This window comes from Homo sapiens, chromosome 12 (assembly GCF_000001405.40).
Source record: "Homo sapiens chromosome 12, GRCh38.p14 Primary Assembly".
NCBI classification, from domain to species: domain Eukaryota; kingdom Metazoa; phylum Chordata; class Mammalia; order Primates; family Hominidae; genus Homo; species Homo sapiens.
This window is the reverse complement of record NC_000012.12, coordinates 103,606,165-103,621,204: the sequence shown is the minus strand read 5'-3', so window position 1 is coordinate 103,621,204 and position 15,040 is coordinate 103,606,165. Positions and strand designations below refer to the sequence as shown.

The following is a 15,040-nucleotide window of genomic DNA, read 5'->3' as shown; positions in this document are numbered from 1 at the left end:
GTCCTATATAGTGTCATAAAGTATTTTCACATATATGGCCTCATTTTACTTTTTCAACAAATGTTATTACATAGATACTGTTTCAAACTTTTTTTTTTGGGTGGGGGTGGACAGAGTCTTGCTCTTGTCACCCAGACTGGAGTGCAATGGCACAATCTCAGCTCACTGCAACCTCTGCCTCCTGGGTTCAAGCAATTCTCCTGCCTCAGCCTCCTGAGTAGCTGGGACTATAGGCGCCCACCACCACACCCAGCTAATTTTTGTATTTTTAGTGGAGACGGGGTTTCACCATGCTGGCTAGGATGGTCTCGATCTCCTGACCTCGTGATCCTCCCCCACTCGGCCTCCTAAAGTGCTGGGATTCCAGGCGTAAGCCACTGCTCCCAGCCTCAAACCCATTTTTACAAGTGGATATGCTTAAGACTGAGCAGTTAATTGACTCTCCTAAAGGCCCCCAGGCTATAAATGGTCATTTTGTTGCAAATTGCACATTTTTAAAAAATTAATACCTTCACTGCTTAAGAACTTCGCTGTATATGTGTGTGTGCACGTGTGTGTGTGTGTGTGTGTGTGTGTGTGTTTAAGGAGGATCAACAGGTAAGAAGATGGGGAGCAGAAACCAGGAAAGGAAGAACACATTTTTGAACTTACTTGGCAGGAGCAGGTTCCATTTCCTTCCATGCCTTCAGCACAACTGCCTCTGCCATTGCAGGGTGACCCCGCTCCACCTGGGCACTCTAGGGAATCAAACAGCTCAGATGTATTCATTCGTGACTGCACACAAGCATTCTGCAAGGATGCGCTTAAACACCTACTAAGTGTGCTAGTTGCCAGGGATAAGAAATAATTGCAGAACCTGTTGGTGTCATCTAGGGTTTTACAGAAAAGGCAGGAGTAAACACAGGTGAATTGCAATGTGGTCATGTGCTGTATTAGAAAGTATCACACTATCTACCATTTCTTGAGAGTTTGCTATACACTTCACAATGATCAAATTAGATCACTCCTATTGCAACCTTCAGGGGTGGTTGCTATTGGTGCTGGTTAGCAGATGAAAAGACAGTTTCAGAGAGGTTGCATATACTCACCCAAGGTCTCACAGTTTGTAAGTTGTAAAGCTAGGACTTTAAGCTCAGCCCTTGGCTTGACTAAGGCCAGGCCTCTTCATAGGTGTGCTAGACAGGGTATTGAGGGAGTCCAGAGAAGGGAGGTATTGATGCTGCCTTAGGGAGCCCGAGAGACATCCCTGAGGAGGAGTTATTTAAATGGGGCTTTTGAAGGTGCAGTAGGAATTGGCTATGCTTAAAAGGAAAGGATATTTCAGGAAGAGGCAATAGCAAGTACAAGGTCTTGGAATTGTAAAAGGGCATGACCTGTTCTGGGAATGACAGAGTTTTATGGGGCTGGGGACTTGGGAGCTGGGTGTGAGAGTTGTGGGGTGGCGGGGGCGGGGGGCGTTGCTGATGAGGTAAAATGGGACAGTTGGGGCCAATTAATGAAGTGCCTAGTATGGTAAGCAAAGGAATTTAGATTTTATTCGGAAGCTGATTCCTAATGTGCATAAATTTTTGTACTTCTGTGATATTCTAGATCTGAATTGTAGCTTTTATGGACATTTATTAGAGGACATTCACTAAACATTCAGGGAATATCCTAATATGTGCCAAGCATTATATTTCATGGTGGGGCAGGGGGACATTTAGCTAGAAAGCCAGAAATTACAATGCCCACAATCAAATAGAGAATTAAAAATTATGGCAAGTGACAGAAGTTTAAGGTACTATTGTGATGAGGATGAAAAGAAATTCTATTTCTTTTTATACTTGCTGTTGTTCTACACTTTGAGTGCTGAGTTGACCTGGGTTTATTGCCAATATGGATGAGCTCTGACTGTTTAAATTAGAAATCTGGACCTGCAAGCACCAAGCAGAAACCATGCAATGACCATGAAATGTGTCTGTGTGAATGAGGCAAGATGAAATGTTCCCCCATTTAAGTTAGCAAGGTAAGTGCCTCCCACAAGACGGGAAGTTCTAGATAATTGTATTAGTCCATTCTCATGCTGCTAATAAAGACATGCCTGAGACCGGGTAATTTAAAAAGGAAAGAGATTTAATGGACTCACTGTTCCACATGGCTGGGGAGGCCTCAAAATTATGGCAGAAGACAAAGAAAGAGCAAAGTGACGTCTTACACGGCAGCAGGCAAGAGGGCATGTGCAGGGGAATTCCTCTTTATAAAACCATCAGATGTCGTGAGACTTATTCACAATCATGAGAACAGCATGGGAAAGGCCCGCCCCCATGATTCAATTACCTCCCCCTGGGTCCCTCCCATGACACGTGAGAATTATTACAATTTAAGGTGAGACTGGGTGGGGACACAGAGCCAAGCCATATCAATAATAATAAAGGATGCATTTGTTTACAACTCACAGCAATCCTCTGAAGTTAAATCTTATTTTTAGCCATACTTTCTAGATGAGGAAACAGGCACAGAGTGGTTAAGTGACTTGGCCAAAGTCACCCAGCTGGCAAGGGGTAATGATAGACACACTTAGCTTTCCTCTACTGAAGTGACCACCTTCCTGCTGTCCCTTCCCTCTCATCCCCATCACATAAGACCTTTGCCATAAGCTTTCCTGTGCCACAGCTCATTCTGCCATACATCTTCCCTGTGGCATGTGAAATCAGCATCCGTGGAAAATAAAAATGCAGTTGTCTTAGTCAATTCAGGCTGCTATAACAAAATGTCTTAGACTGGGTGGCTTATAAACAACAGAAGTTTATTTCTCACAGTCCTGTAGTCTGGGAAGTCCAATATCGAGGTTCTGGCAGATTCTGTGTCTGGTGAGGGCCTGTTTTCTGGTTCATAGATGGTGACTTCTCACTGTATCTTCACTTGGTGGAAGGGGTGAGGGAGCTCTCTGGGGTCTCTTTTATGAGGGCACTAATCCCATCCATAAGGGCCCTGTTCTTAGGACCTAATCACCTCCCAAAGACTTTTACCTTTTAATACAATCACATTGGGGATTAGGTATGAACATATGAATTTTGGGGAGACACAAACATTCAGACCATAGCAGCAGTTCTTGAAGAAAGAGACTTCTAAGCACTAAGAAATGCAGCTCTCTGAAAGAGACCCTGGGGGCTCCATTAAGTTACTAGGCTAGTTCTTTAGAAGAACATTCATAACATGCAGGTACTATGGAGGTGGGAGTCATATCCATCTGTAGATGGTTTTCTCTGGGGCTCCTTCCATTTCCTTCCTGCATCCAGAATATTAGTAAACGACACAGTCTAAATTGCCCATTTTGATCTGTGGTATTTCCACAGCAGTGGCAGAGCCAGGCTCAAAACCTGGAAAGATGCTCCAGAATCTACTGCACCATTTATCACTAACATCCACCATTATCAGGCAGGTATGCACCCCAGGACAACAGCTCAGGTAACAGGCATGTTTGTGGGGCAAGGGAAGGGGGAGAAATACTGATGGGTAGCTAATATTCATAAGTATTCGAAAAGCAAGACATTGGTTTGGGTTGCTCTCACCAACTAGGCTAGTAGTGGCATGAAATGCGATGCGATTGTGTCATGGGAGGAGCTGGGACATTGCAGTCAGAATGTTCTGGGTTCAAATCCCAGCTAAACTCTTTGCTTATAACCCTTTGCTTTTGGCAAAGTCAATGCCTGACTCTGAGATTCAGTTCAGGTGTATGTGGGGACCATACTGTCTTCTAGGTAGGTTGTAGTAGGGATTGGAAATATTAGGTGCTTAACGAATGATAGTTGCTATTATTCAGAGTGGATCTTCTTTAGGTTTTGTTTTTTCAGATTGGTATTGTAACAGTTAAAACACTCAGGAAATAAATTACTCGTACTTGTTTGAATCCGACCATCTAAGATCTTTGATATTTACCAGTGAGCATACAGACTTGGTTCTTATTTCCATGATCCTACCAGTCTAGTGCGGAGAGAGTTGTGGATTTAACAGACACTCCGGTAATACTGATTGATGGACTGGGATAAGGGTTGTCAGGGGAAGAGATCTAGAGCTCTCATCACTTCATCTACTTGATGTTACTTACCAATATTTACCAAAAATAATCTAGTTCTGAATGGCCCAGTTGGTTTAGATCTGATCTCAACAGATGGCAAAAGCTAGATCATGAAGAAAGGGCCTTGTTAAAGATTTTGGTCTTTGTCTAAGGATGAGCAGCAGGAGGTGAGGATGTAGAGGAAGGGAGAGAGCTGAATCAAGCAGGGACCAGGTAAACACTTGGGAGCCAATCTGAAAACCAACTCAGCCATTTGAGTTCACTCATATTGTTGAGCAAAGTGTGCTAAGAGAGCATCTTCATAAATCGTTCACCATCAAATAGTTCTTCTATTTGCTTTTTATAGGAGGCCCCTCTTGAGCTGAGATGGTGTTTTGGGAGCCAGGGCCAGCCCTGTGCAGAGCTAGGAAGGTAGTGACAGCTCCCCAACTATTTCCCTCTCTTGTTCCCTGTACCTCTCCCCAGAAATGGGTGTACAAGGAGCTCTCTGGGTGACACCCAGTTTGCCTTCTGGGCTTGCTCAGAACAACACAGGGCCTCCTGAAGCCTGAGACTCAGCAATCAGTGCCACCTTGCAGAAATGTCCTCCCAGGTATTTTTACATTTTCAGGCAATGATGCCTAAATCCCAGTCTCCCAAACTCACATTCCACTGAATCTGTTCCTCCAAGCATGGAACCAACTTATCTCCCCATCTTGCACTCTTTCCATGCAGCCAAACAGACTATTCCCTGCTCTTCTAGACAGGCCTTTCTCTCCATTCCTTACTTGTGCTTTTCCCACCTTCAAAGACCCTTTCCCTGACCCTGCCTCTGAGGCAGATTTGACTTCCATCATCTTGGTGCCTGTTCCACTCAGCTCATTCCTGTTATAACACATGTGGCAGAACATGGGGCAGAGTCATTTGTTGAGAATATAACCATGCTCTGGGCTACACTGATCAGAGAGGAATTGGAGAGCTTCCCCAATCCAAGCTCCCAAGAGTGTGACCTTGTGTTTAGGAAGTCTGGACATTCTTCTTCCTTAGGGACAGTTAATATACCTTTCTTTTAAAAAATTTAGGCAGGTGTTCCTCTAAGGGTGATTCACTGGACAAGGTGTTTGGAATCCCTTGGGAGTGGGGAACTTTTACAAAGGCAGATTTCCAAGGCCCTCCTCATTAGGTATATGATATAGTTTGGCTGTGTCCCCACCTAAAATCTCATCTTGAATTATAATCCCCATGTGTCAAGGGCTAGACCCTGTGGAGGTAATTGGATCATGGGGCAGTTTCCCCCGTGCTGTTCTTGTGATAGTGAATGAGTCTCACGAGATCTGATGGCTTTATAAGTGTCTGGCATTTCCCCTGCTTGCACTTACTCTGTTCTGCCACCCTGTGAAGAGGTGCCTGCTTCTCCTTTGCCTTCCACCATGACTGTAAGTTTCTGTGGCCTCCCCAGCAATGCAGAACTGTGAGCCAATTAAACCTCTTTCCTTTATAAATTACCCAGGCTTGGGTATTTCTTCATAGCAGTGTGAGAATGGACTAATACAGTATGCGAGCCATTAACAAGCACCTCTTAGATCTCCAACTTCAGAAGCATAATTACCTTGAAATCTACTATTTTTTCATGAGACTACACTTCTCATGACTCCTTCTAGTCCATGACTGAGCATGGTAGAGATGCCAGGGCAGGCCCACTCCTTTAAGATGCAGGCTTCCTCTGTGGGTGATTTTGGCTAGAGGACTCCCCATCAGCTTTACCAATTTTTCTCAGACCTACATATAGTCTAAAGCTTTTCCATCCAACTTTCCTTGACTCCCTCTCTTGTTCACAAGGGTCAGACCTGCATTGGTGTCTCCCTCTGCTTCTCCTGGCTTTCTTCTCATTTTTTTCATCACACCTGTTTCCTCTAAGTAATCTCTTGTATCTCTAGCCCTGTCTGACATCTCCCTTTTGGAAGCCCTGGACTAATATGCCAGGGCATAGACAGCCTTTGTGCAAATTAGAAAAATCATCCCTACCCTCACTGCTCTTGTGGATATATCCCCACAGACACTAGGCTTAGAAAGCAGATGAAACTAAAATAAATTGAAGGTGCCCCTTCCTCTTGGTATACCAGGCCCACACTAGAGTGTACGGTTTGGCAAGCTGAGAATGGGCTGAATTTCAGTCCAATTTCATCCCCTTGGGCAATAAGAACCTGCTACAATTTTATGCAAAACCTGACACTTAACACCTACCAAATAGGGATTCCCTGGTGTAAGACTCAGGAAAGAACATTTTAATAGGCATGGCAGGTAATTCCACTACACATTAATATTTGAGAACCACTGGGTGTGCTCGACAAATTTATGTAGAATGTCCTAAACAGAGAGGAAGTGAAGGTTTTTATGCCTAGGAGGCTGCTGGGAAGCAATGCCTATGAGTTGATGTGCCTTTGCATGGGATGGTTGTGTGGTGTATCAGCTGGACACTAGGCAATGTTTCTGGTGCTTCAGAAAGGTTCTGATGTGGATGAACTTAGCAAGAAGAAAGTTCCTGAACACTTAACTGGAACAAGACTTGCCTAGAAACAACAGAAGTTGTTTTCTAGTTGCCTAGAAAAACCTGTAGCACTGGGCAGCTGGTGGAAGGCCAGTGCTGTTCATAGGGAGATTTTGTACACTGACTTAAAGCCACTTTGACTAATCAGCAGTTAGGTTATTTTGGTAAAAAGGTATAGCCTCCAGTGGCTAGAGGTCAGCAGGAAACTTAGCTCCTAAATTGTACCACCAGGTATGTTGCAATGAAAGAAAATTCTGTAAACTTATCCACCAGGTGCTAAAATTCATATTATTTCTTCTTAAAATTCTCAAAGAGCTCCACTCTATGCCTTCAGCCCTCTGTCAATGGCAACAAATCTCTAACACAGGGTACACCTCAAAATGGACACAGAAAAAAGTTCAAGAATTTTTTAAAGTACAAGAATAAGAAGCACCCAACAAAGTAATATTTGCAATGTCTGAATTCAATAAAACTTACTAGGCATAAATACTGAGGGAAAACACCAGTTAATTGAAACCAACCCAGAGATCACATATATGATATTATTAGTAGACAAAGATTTAGAAATAGTTATTATAACTGTACTCTATGTATTCAAGAAGGTAGAGAAATAAGCAAGTTAAAAAAGAAGAAAGATATAAACAAAACCAAATTGAACTTCTACCAATGAAAATACAATGTTCAAAATAAAAATACAAGATATAGAATTAACAGCAGTTTAAAGACTGAGAAATAAAAGATTAGTGAACTTAAAGACAAGCAGTATTAACTATACAAAATGAAGAGGAGAGGGTTCCAAGATGGCCGAATAGGAACAGCTCCAGTCTACAGCTCTCAGCATGAGCGACGCAGAAGACGGATGATTTCTGCATTTCCAACTGAGGTACCAGGTTTGTCTCACTGGGGATTGTCAGACAGTGGGTGCAGGACAGTGGGTGCAGTGCACCTAGTGTGAGCTGAAGCAGGGCGAGGCATTGCCTCGCCCGGGAAGTGCAAGGGGTCAGGGAATTCCCTTTCCTAGCCAAGGAAAGGGGTAACAGATGGAACCTTGAAAATCGGGTCACCCCCACCCTGATACTGCGCTTTTCCAGTGGTCTTAGCAAACGGCACACCAGGAGATTATATCCCGCACGTGGCTTGGAGGGTCCTACGTCCACGGAGCCTCACTCATTGCTAGCACAGCAGTCTGAGATCAAACTGCAAGGCGGCAGCGAGGCTGGGGGAGAGGCTCCCGCCATTCCTGAGGCTTCAGCAGGTAAACAAAGTGGCCGGGAAGCTCGAACTGGGTGGAGCCCACTGCAGCTCAAGGAGGCCTGCCTACCTCTGTATACTCCACCTCTGTGGGCAGGGCATAGCCAAACAAAAGGCAGCAGAAACCTCTGCAGACTTAAATGTCCCTGTCTGACAGCTTGGAAGACAGTAGTGATTCTCCCAGCACGCAGCTTGAGATCTGAGAACGGACAGACTGCCTCCTCAAGTGGGTCCCTGACCCCCAAGTAGCCTAACTGGGAGGCACCACCCAGTAGGGGCAGACTGACACCTCACACGGCCGGGTAGCCCTCTGAGACAAAACTTCTAGAGGAACAATCAGGCAGCAACATTTGCTGTTCACCAATATTTGCTGTTCTGCAGCCTCTGCTGCTGATGCCCAGGCAAACAGGATCTGGAGTGGACCTCCAGCAAACTCCAACAGACCTGCAGCTGAGGGTCCTGATTCTTAGAAGGAAAACTAACAAACAGAAAGGACATCCACACCAAAACCCCATCTGTACGTCACCTTCATCAAAGACCAAAGGTAGATAAAACCACAGAGATGGGGAAAAAAACAGAGCAGAAAAACTGAAAATTCTAAAAATCAGAGCACCTCTCCCCCTCCAAAGGAATGCAGCTCCTCACCAGCAATGGAACAAAGCCGGATGGAGAATGACTTTGACGAGTTGAGAGAAGAAGACTTCAGATGATCAAACTTCTCCGAGCTAAAGGAGGAAGTTTGAACCCATGGCAAAGAAGTTAAACACCTTGAAAAAAGACTAGATGAATGGCTAACTAGAATAACCAATGCAGAGAAGTCCTTAAAGGACCTGACGGAGCTGAAAACTATGGCACAAGAACTACGTGATGCATGCACAAGCTTCAGTAGCCAATTTGATCAACTGGAAGAAAGGGTATCAGTGATTGGAAGATCAAATGAATGAAATGAAGTGAGAAGAGAAGTTTAGAGAAAAAAGAATAAAAAGAAATGAACAAAGCCTCCAAGAAATATGGGACTATGTGAAAAGACCAAATCTACGTCTGATTGGTGTACCTGAAAGTGATGGGGAGAATGGAACTAAGTTGGAAAACACTCTGCAGGATATTATCCAGGAGAACTTCCCTAATCTAGCAAGGCAGGCCAACATTCAAATTCAGGAAATACAGAGAATGCCACAAAGATACTCCTCAAGAAGAGCAACTCCAAGACACATAATTGTCAGATTCACCAAAGTTGAAATGAAGGAAAAAATGTTAAGGGCAGCCAGAGAGAAAGGTCGGGTTACACAAAGAGAAGCCCATCAGACTAACAGTGGATATCTCAGCAGAAACTCTACAAGCCAGAAGAGAGTGGGGGACAATATTCAACATTCTTAAAGAAAAGAATTTTCAACCCAGAATTTCATAGCCAGCCATACTAAGCTTCATAAGTGAAGGAGAAATAAAATCCTTTACAGACAAGCAAATGCTGAGAGATTTTGTCACCACCAGGCCTGCCTTACAAGAGCTCCTGAAGGAAGCACTAAACATGGAAAGGAACAACCGGTACCAGCCACTGCAAAAACATGCCAAATCGTAAAGACCATCGAGGCTAGGAAGAAACTGCATCAACTAACGAGCAAAATAACCAGCTAACATCATAATGACAGGATCAAATTCACACATAACAATATTAACCTTAAATGTAAATGGGCTAAATGCTCCAATTAAAAGACACACTGGCAAATTGCATAAAGAGTCAAGACCCATCAGTGTGCTGTACTCAGGAAACCCATCTCACATGCAGAGACACACAAAGCCTCAAAATAAAGGGATGGAGGAAGATCTACCAAGCAAATGGAAAACAAAAAAAGGCAGGGGTTGCAATCCTAGTCTCTGATAAAACAGACTTTAAACCAACAAAGATCAAAAGAGACAAAGAAGGCCATTACATAATGGTAAAGGGATCAATTTAACAAGAAGAGCTAACTATCCTAAATATATATGCACCCAATACAGGAGCACCCAGATTCATAAACCAAGTCCTTAGAGACCTACAAAGAGACTCAGACTCCCACACAATAATAATGGGAGACTTTAACACCCCACTGTCAACATTAGACAGATCAACGAGACAGAAAGTTAACAAGGATATCCAGGAATTGAACTCAGCTCTGCACCATGCGGACCTAATAGACATCTACAGAACTCTCCACCCCAAATCAACAGAATATACATTCTTCTCAGCACCACACCGCACTTATTCCAAAATTGACCACATAGTTGGAAGTAAAGCACTCCTCAGCAAATGTAAAAGAACAGAAATTATAACAAACTGTCTCTCAGACCACAGTGCAATCAAACTAGAACTCGGGATTAAGAAACTCACTCAAAACCGCTCCACTACATAGAAACTGAACAACCTGCTCCTGAATGACTACTGGGTACATAATGAAATGAAGGCAGAAATAAAGATGTTCTTTGAAACCAATGAGAACAAAGACACAACATACCAGAATCTCTGGGACACATTTAAAGCAGTGTGTAGAGGGAAATTTATAGCACTAAATGCCAACAAGAGAAAGCAGGAAAGATCTAAAATTGACACCCTAACAACACAATGAAAAGAACTAGAAAAGCAAGAGCAAACACATTCAAAAGCTAGCAGAAGGCAAGAAATAACTAAGATCAGAGCAGAACTGAGGGAGATAGAGACATAAAAAACCCTTCAAAAAATTAATGAATCCAGGAGCTGGTTTTTTGAAAAGATCAACAAAATTGATAGACCGCTAGCAAGATTAATAAAGAAGAAAAGAGAGAAGAATCAAATAGATGCAATAAAAAATGATAAAGGCGATATCACCACCGATCCCACAGAAATACAAACTACCATCAGATAATATTATAAACACCTCCACGCAAATAAACTAGAAAATCTAGAAGAAATGGATAAATTCCTCGACACATACACCCTCCCAAGACTATACCAGGAAGAAGTTGAATCTTTGAATAGACCAATAACAGGCTCTGAAATTGAGGCAATAATTAATAGCTTACCAACCAAAACAAGTCCATGACCAGACGGATTCACAGCCGAAGTCTACCAGAGGTACGAGGAGGAGTTGGTACCATTCCTTCTGAAACTATTCCAATCAATAGAAAAAGAGGGAATCCTCCCTAACTCATTTTATGAGGCCAGCATCATCCTGATACCAAAGCCTGGCAGAGACACAACCAAAAAAGATAATTTTAGACCAATATCCCTGATGAACATCGATGCAAAAATCCTCAATAAAATACTGGAAAACCGAATCCAGCAACACATCAAAAAGCTTACCCAGCATTATCAAGTGGGCTTCATCCCTGGGATGCAAGGCTGGTTCAACATACGCAAATCAATAATCATAATCCAGCATATAAACAGAACCAATGACAAAAACCGCATGATTATCACAATAGATGCAGAAAAGGCCTTTGAGAAAATTCAACAGCCCTTCATGCAAAAACTCTTAATAAATTAGGTATTGATGGGACGTATCTCAAAATAATAAGAGCTATTTATGACAAACCCACAGCCAATATCATACTGAATGGGCAAAAACTGGAAGCATTCCCTTTGAAAACTGGCACAAGACAGGGATGTCCTCTCTCACCACTCCTATTCAACATAGTGTTGGAAGTTCTGGCCAGGGCAATCAGGCAGGAGAAGGAAATAAAGGGTATTCAATTAGGAAAAGAGGAAGTCAAATTGTCCCTGTTTGCAGATGACATGATTGTATATCTAGAAAACCCCATCATCTCAGCCCAAAATCTCCTTAAGCTGATAAGCAACTTCAGCAAAGTCTCAGGATACAAAATCAATGTGCAAAAATCACAAGCATTCTTATACTCCAATAACAGACAAACAGAGAGCCAAATCATGAGTGAACTCCCATTCACAATTGCTTCAAAGAGAATAAAATACCTAGCAATCCAACTTACAAGGGATGTGAAGGACCTCTTCAAGGAGAACTACAAACCACTGCTCAATGAAATAAAAGAGGATACGAACAAATGGAAGAACATTCCATGCTCATGGGTAGGAAGAATCAATATCATGAAAATGGATATACTGCCCAAGGTAATTTATAGATTCAATGCCATCCCCATCAAGCTACCAATGACTTTCTTCACAGAATTGGAAAAAACTACTTTAAAGTTCATATGGAACCAAAAAAGAGCCCGCATTGCCAAGACAATCCTAAGCCAAAAGAACAAAGCCGGAGGCATCACACTACCTGACTTCAAACTATACTACAAGGCTACAGTAACCAAAACAGCATGGTACTGGTACCAAAACAGCGATATAGACCATTGGAACAGAACAGAGCCCTCAGAAATAATGCCACACATCTACAACTATCTGATCTTTGACAAATCTGACGAAAGCAGGAAATGGGGAAAGGATTTCCTATTTAATAAATGGTGCTGGGAAAACTGGCTAGCCGTATGTAGAAAGCTGAAACTGGATCTCTTCCTTACACCTTGTAGAAAAATTAATTCAAGATGGATTAAAAACTTAAATGTTAGACCTAAAACCATAAAAACCCTAGAAGAAAACCTAGGCAATACCATTCAGGACATAGGCATGGGAAAGTACTTCATGTCTAAAACACCAAAAGCAATGGCAACAAAAGCCAAAATTGACAAATGGGATCTAATTAAACTAAAGAGCTTCTGCACAGCAAAAGAAACTACCGTCAGAGTGAATAGGCAACCTACAGAATGGGAGAACATTTTTGCAATCTACTTATCTGACAAAGGGCTAATATCCAGAATCTACAAAGAACTCAAACAAATTTACAAGAACAAAACAACCCCATCAACAAGTGGACAAAGGATATGAACAGACACTCCTCAAAAGAAGACATTTATGCAGCCAAAAGACACATGAAAAAATGCTTATCATAGGCTGGGCGCGGTGGCTCATGCCTGTAATCCCAGCACTTTGGGAGGCGGAGGCGGGCGGATCACGAGGTCAGGAGATTGAGACCATCCTGGCTAACACGGTGAAACCCTGTCTCCACTCAAAATACAAAAAAAAAATTAGCTAGGCTTGGAGGCAGGCACCTGTAGTCCTAGCTACTCAGGAGGCTGAGGCAGGAGAATGGCGTGAACCCATGAGGCGGAGCTTGCAGTGAGCCAAGATTGCACCACTGCACTCCAGCCTGGGCGACAGAGCGAGGCTCTGCTCATCATCACTGCTCATCATCACTGGCCATCAGAGAAATGCAAATCAAAACCACAACGAGATACCATCTCACACCAGTTAGAATGGCGATCATTAAAAAGTCAGGAAACAACAGGTGCTGGAGAGGATGTGGAGAAATAGGAACATTTTTACACAGTTGGTGGGACTGTAAACTAGTTCAACCATTGTGGAAGTCAGTGTGGCGATTCCTCAGGGATCTAGAACTAGAAATACCATTTGACCCAGCCATCCCATTACTAGGTATATCCCCAAAGGATTATAAATCATGCTGCTATAAAGACACATGCACACGTATGTTTATTGCGGCACTATTCACAATAGCAAAGACTTAGAACCAACCCAAATGTCCATCAATGATAGACTGGATTAAGAAAATGTGGCACATATATACCATGGAATACTATGCAGCGATAAAAAAGGATGAGTTCATGTCCTTTGTAGGGACATGGATGAAGCTGGAAACCATCACTCTCAGCAAACTATCACAAGGACAAAAAACCAAACACCACATGTTCTCACTCATAGGTGTGAATTAAACAATGAGAACACTTGGACACAGGAAGGGGAACATCACACACTGGGGCCTGTTGTGGGGTGGGGGGAGGAGGGAGGGATAGCATTAGGAGATATACCTAATGTAAATGACGAGTTAATGGGTGCAACACACCAACATGGCACACGTATACATATGTAACAAACCTGCACGTTGCGCACATGTACCCTAAAACTTAAAGTATAATTAAAAAAAAACAGAAAAAAGAACAAAAAACCAAAATGAAGCATGGAGAGAAAAAAGACTGAAAGATAATGAGCAGACCATCAGTGAGTTGTGGGACAACTTCAAACATTTTAATATATGTATAACTGGAGTCTCTGAAAAGGAGGAAGGGAGAAAATGTATTTGAAAAAAAAATGTGGCCAAAATTTCCAAATTTGATGAAAAGTATAAACCCATAGATCCAAGAGCTCAAAGAATACCTAGCACAAATAGTATGAAGAAAACTACACACTATAATAAAATTCCTTAGAACCAGTGATAAAAAGTAAATTAAAAGCAGCCAAAGGGAAAAAGGATTTATTATGCTGAGAGGAACAAAGATAACAATGACAACAGATCTTTTTTTTCGTTTTTGTTTTTGTTTTTTGTTTTGTTTTTGAGACAGAGTCTTGCTCTGTTGCCCAGGCTGGAGTGCAGTCGCATAAGCTCAGCTCACGGCACCCTCCACCTCCCGAGTTCAAGCAATTCTGCTGCCTCAGCCACCCAAGTAGCTGGGACTACAGGTGTGTGCCACCACGCCCAGCCAATTTTTTGTATTCTTAGTAGAGACAGGGTTTCACCATGTTAGCCAGGATGGTCTTGATCTCCTGACCTCGTGATCCACCTGTCTCATCCTCCCAAAGTGCTGGGATTACAGGTATGAGCCACCATGCCTGGCCAGCAGATCTTATTAGAAACAATATAACTGAAAAGACAGGGAAACATCTTTAAATTACCAAAACCAAAAAAATTGTCAACTTAAAATTCTATATACAACAATATCTTTCAAAAACAAAGGCAAGATAAGGACTTTTTCAGACATACGAAAGGTAGAAGAATTAATCACTAGATATCCTGCACTACAAGAAGTGTTAAAGAAAATTGGTCAGGAAGAAAAAAAATACCAGATACAAATCTGTATCCACATAAAAGAATGAAGAATGCTGGACATCGTCATTATGTGGTTAAATGTAAAATATATTTTTCCAATATTTTAAATCATTTAAAGTATGGTTCATTGTTTAAGGAAAAATTGGTAACAATATAATGTGGGGCTTCTAATATATATAGAAGTAATATACATAACAATAATAGCACCAAGGATAGGAGTGTAGAAATAGAAGTATATTGTTATAAGATTCTTGTGCATAGAGTGGTGTAATATCAGTTAAATGTAGACTGTATTAAGTTAAAGATTTATTCCATAAACCTTAAAGC

At 42.2% G+C, this 15,040-nt stretch overlaps 1 protein-coding gene across 6 annotated transcripts in view; it reads right to left on the bottom strand.

Moving 5' to 3' along the window:
- STAB2 (stabilin 2) overlaps positions 1–15,040 on the bottom strand; it is a 179,447-nt gene that overhangs the window by 145,515 nt on the left and 18,892 nt on the right. For all 6 annotated transcript variants that reach the window (XR_007063104.1, NM_017564.10, XM_011538537.3 and 3 more), the window contains exon 4: positions 652–737. Coding sequence is in view for 5 of the 6 variants with exons in the window: in NM_017564.10 (NP_060034.9) it covers positions 652–737 (86 nt within the window). In the remaining variant the exon portion in view is untranslated. The remainder of the gene's footprint in view (positions 1–651; positions 738–15,040) is intronic.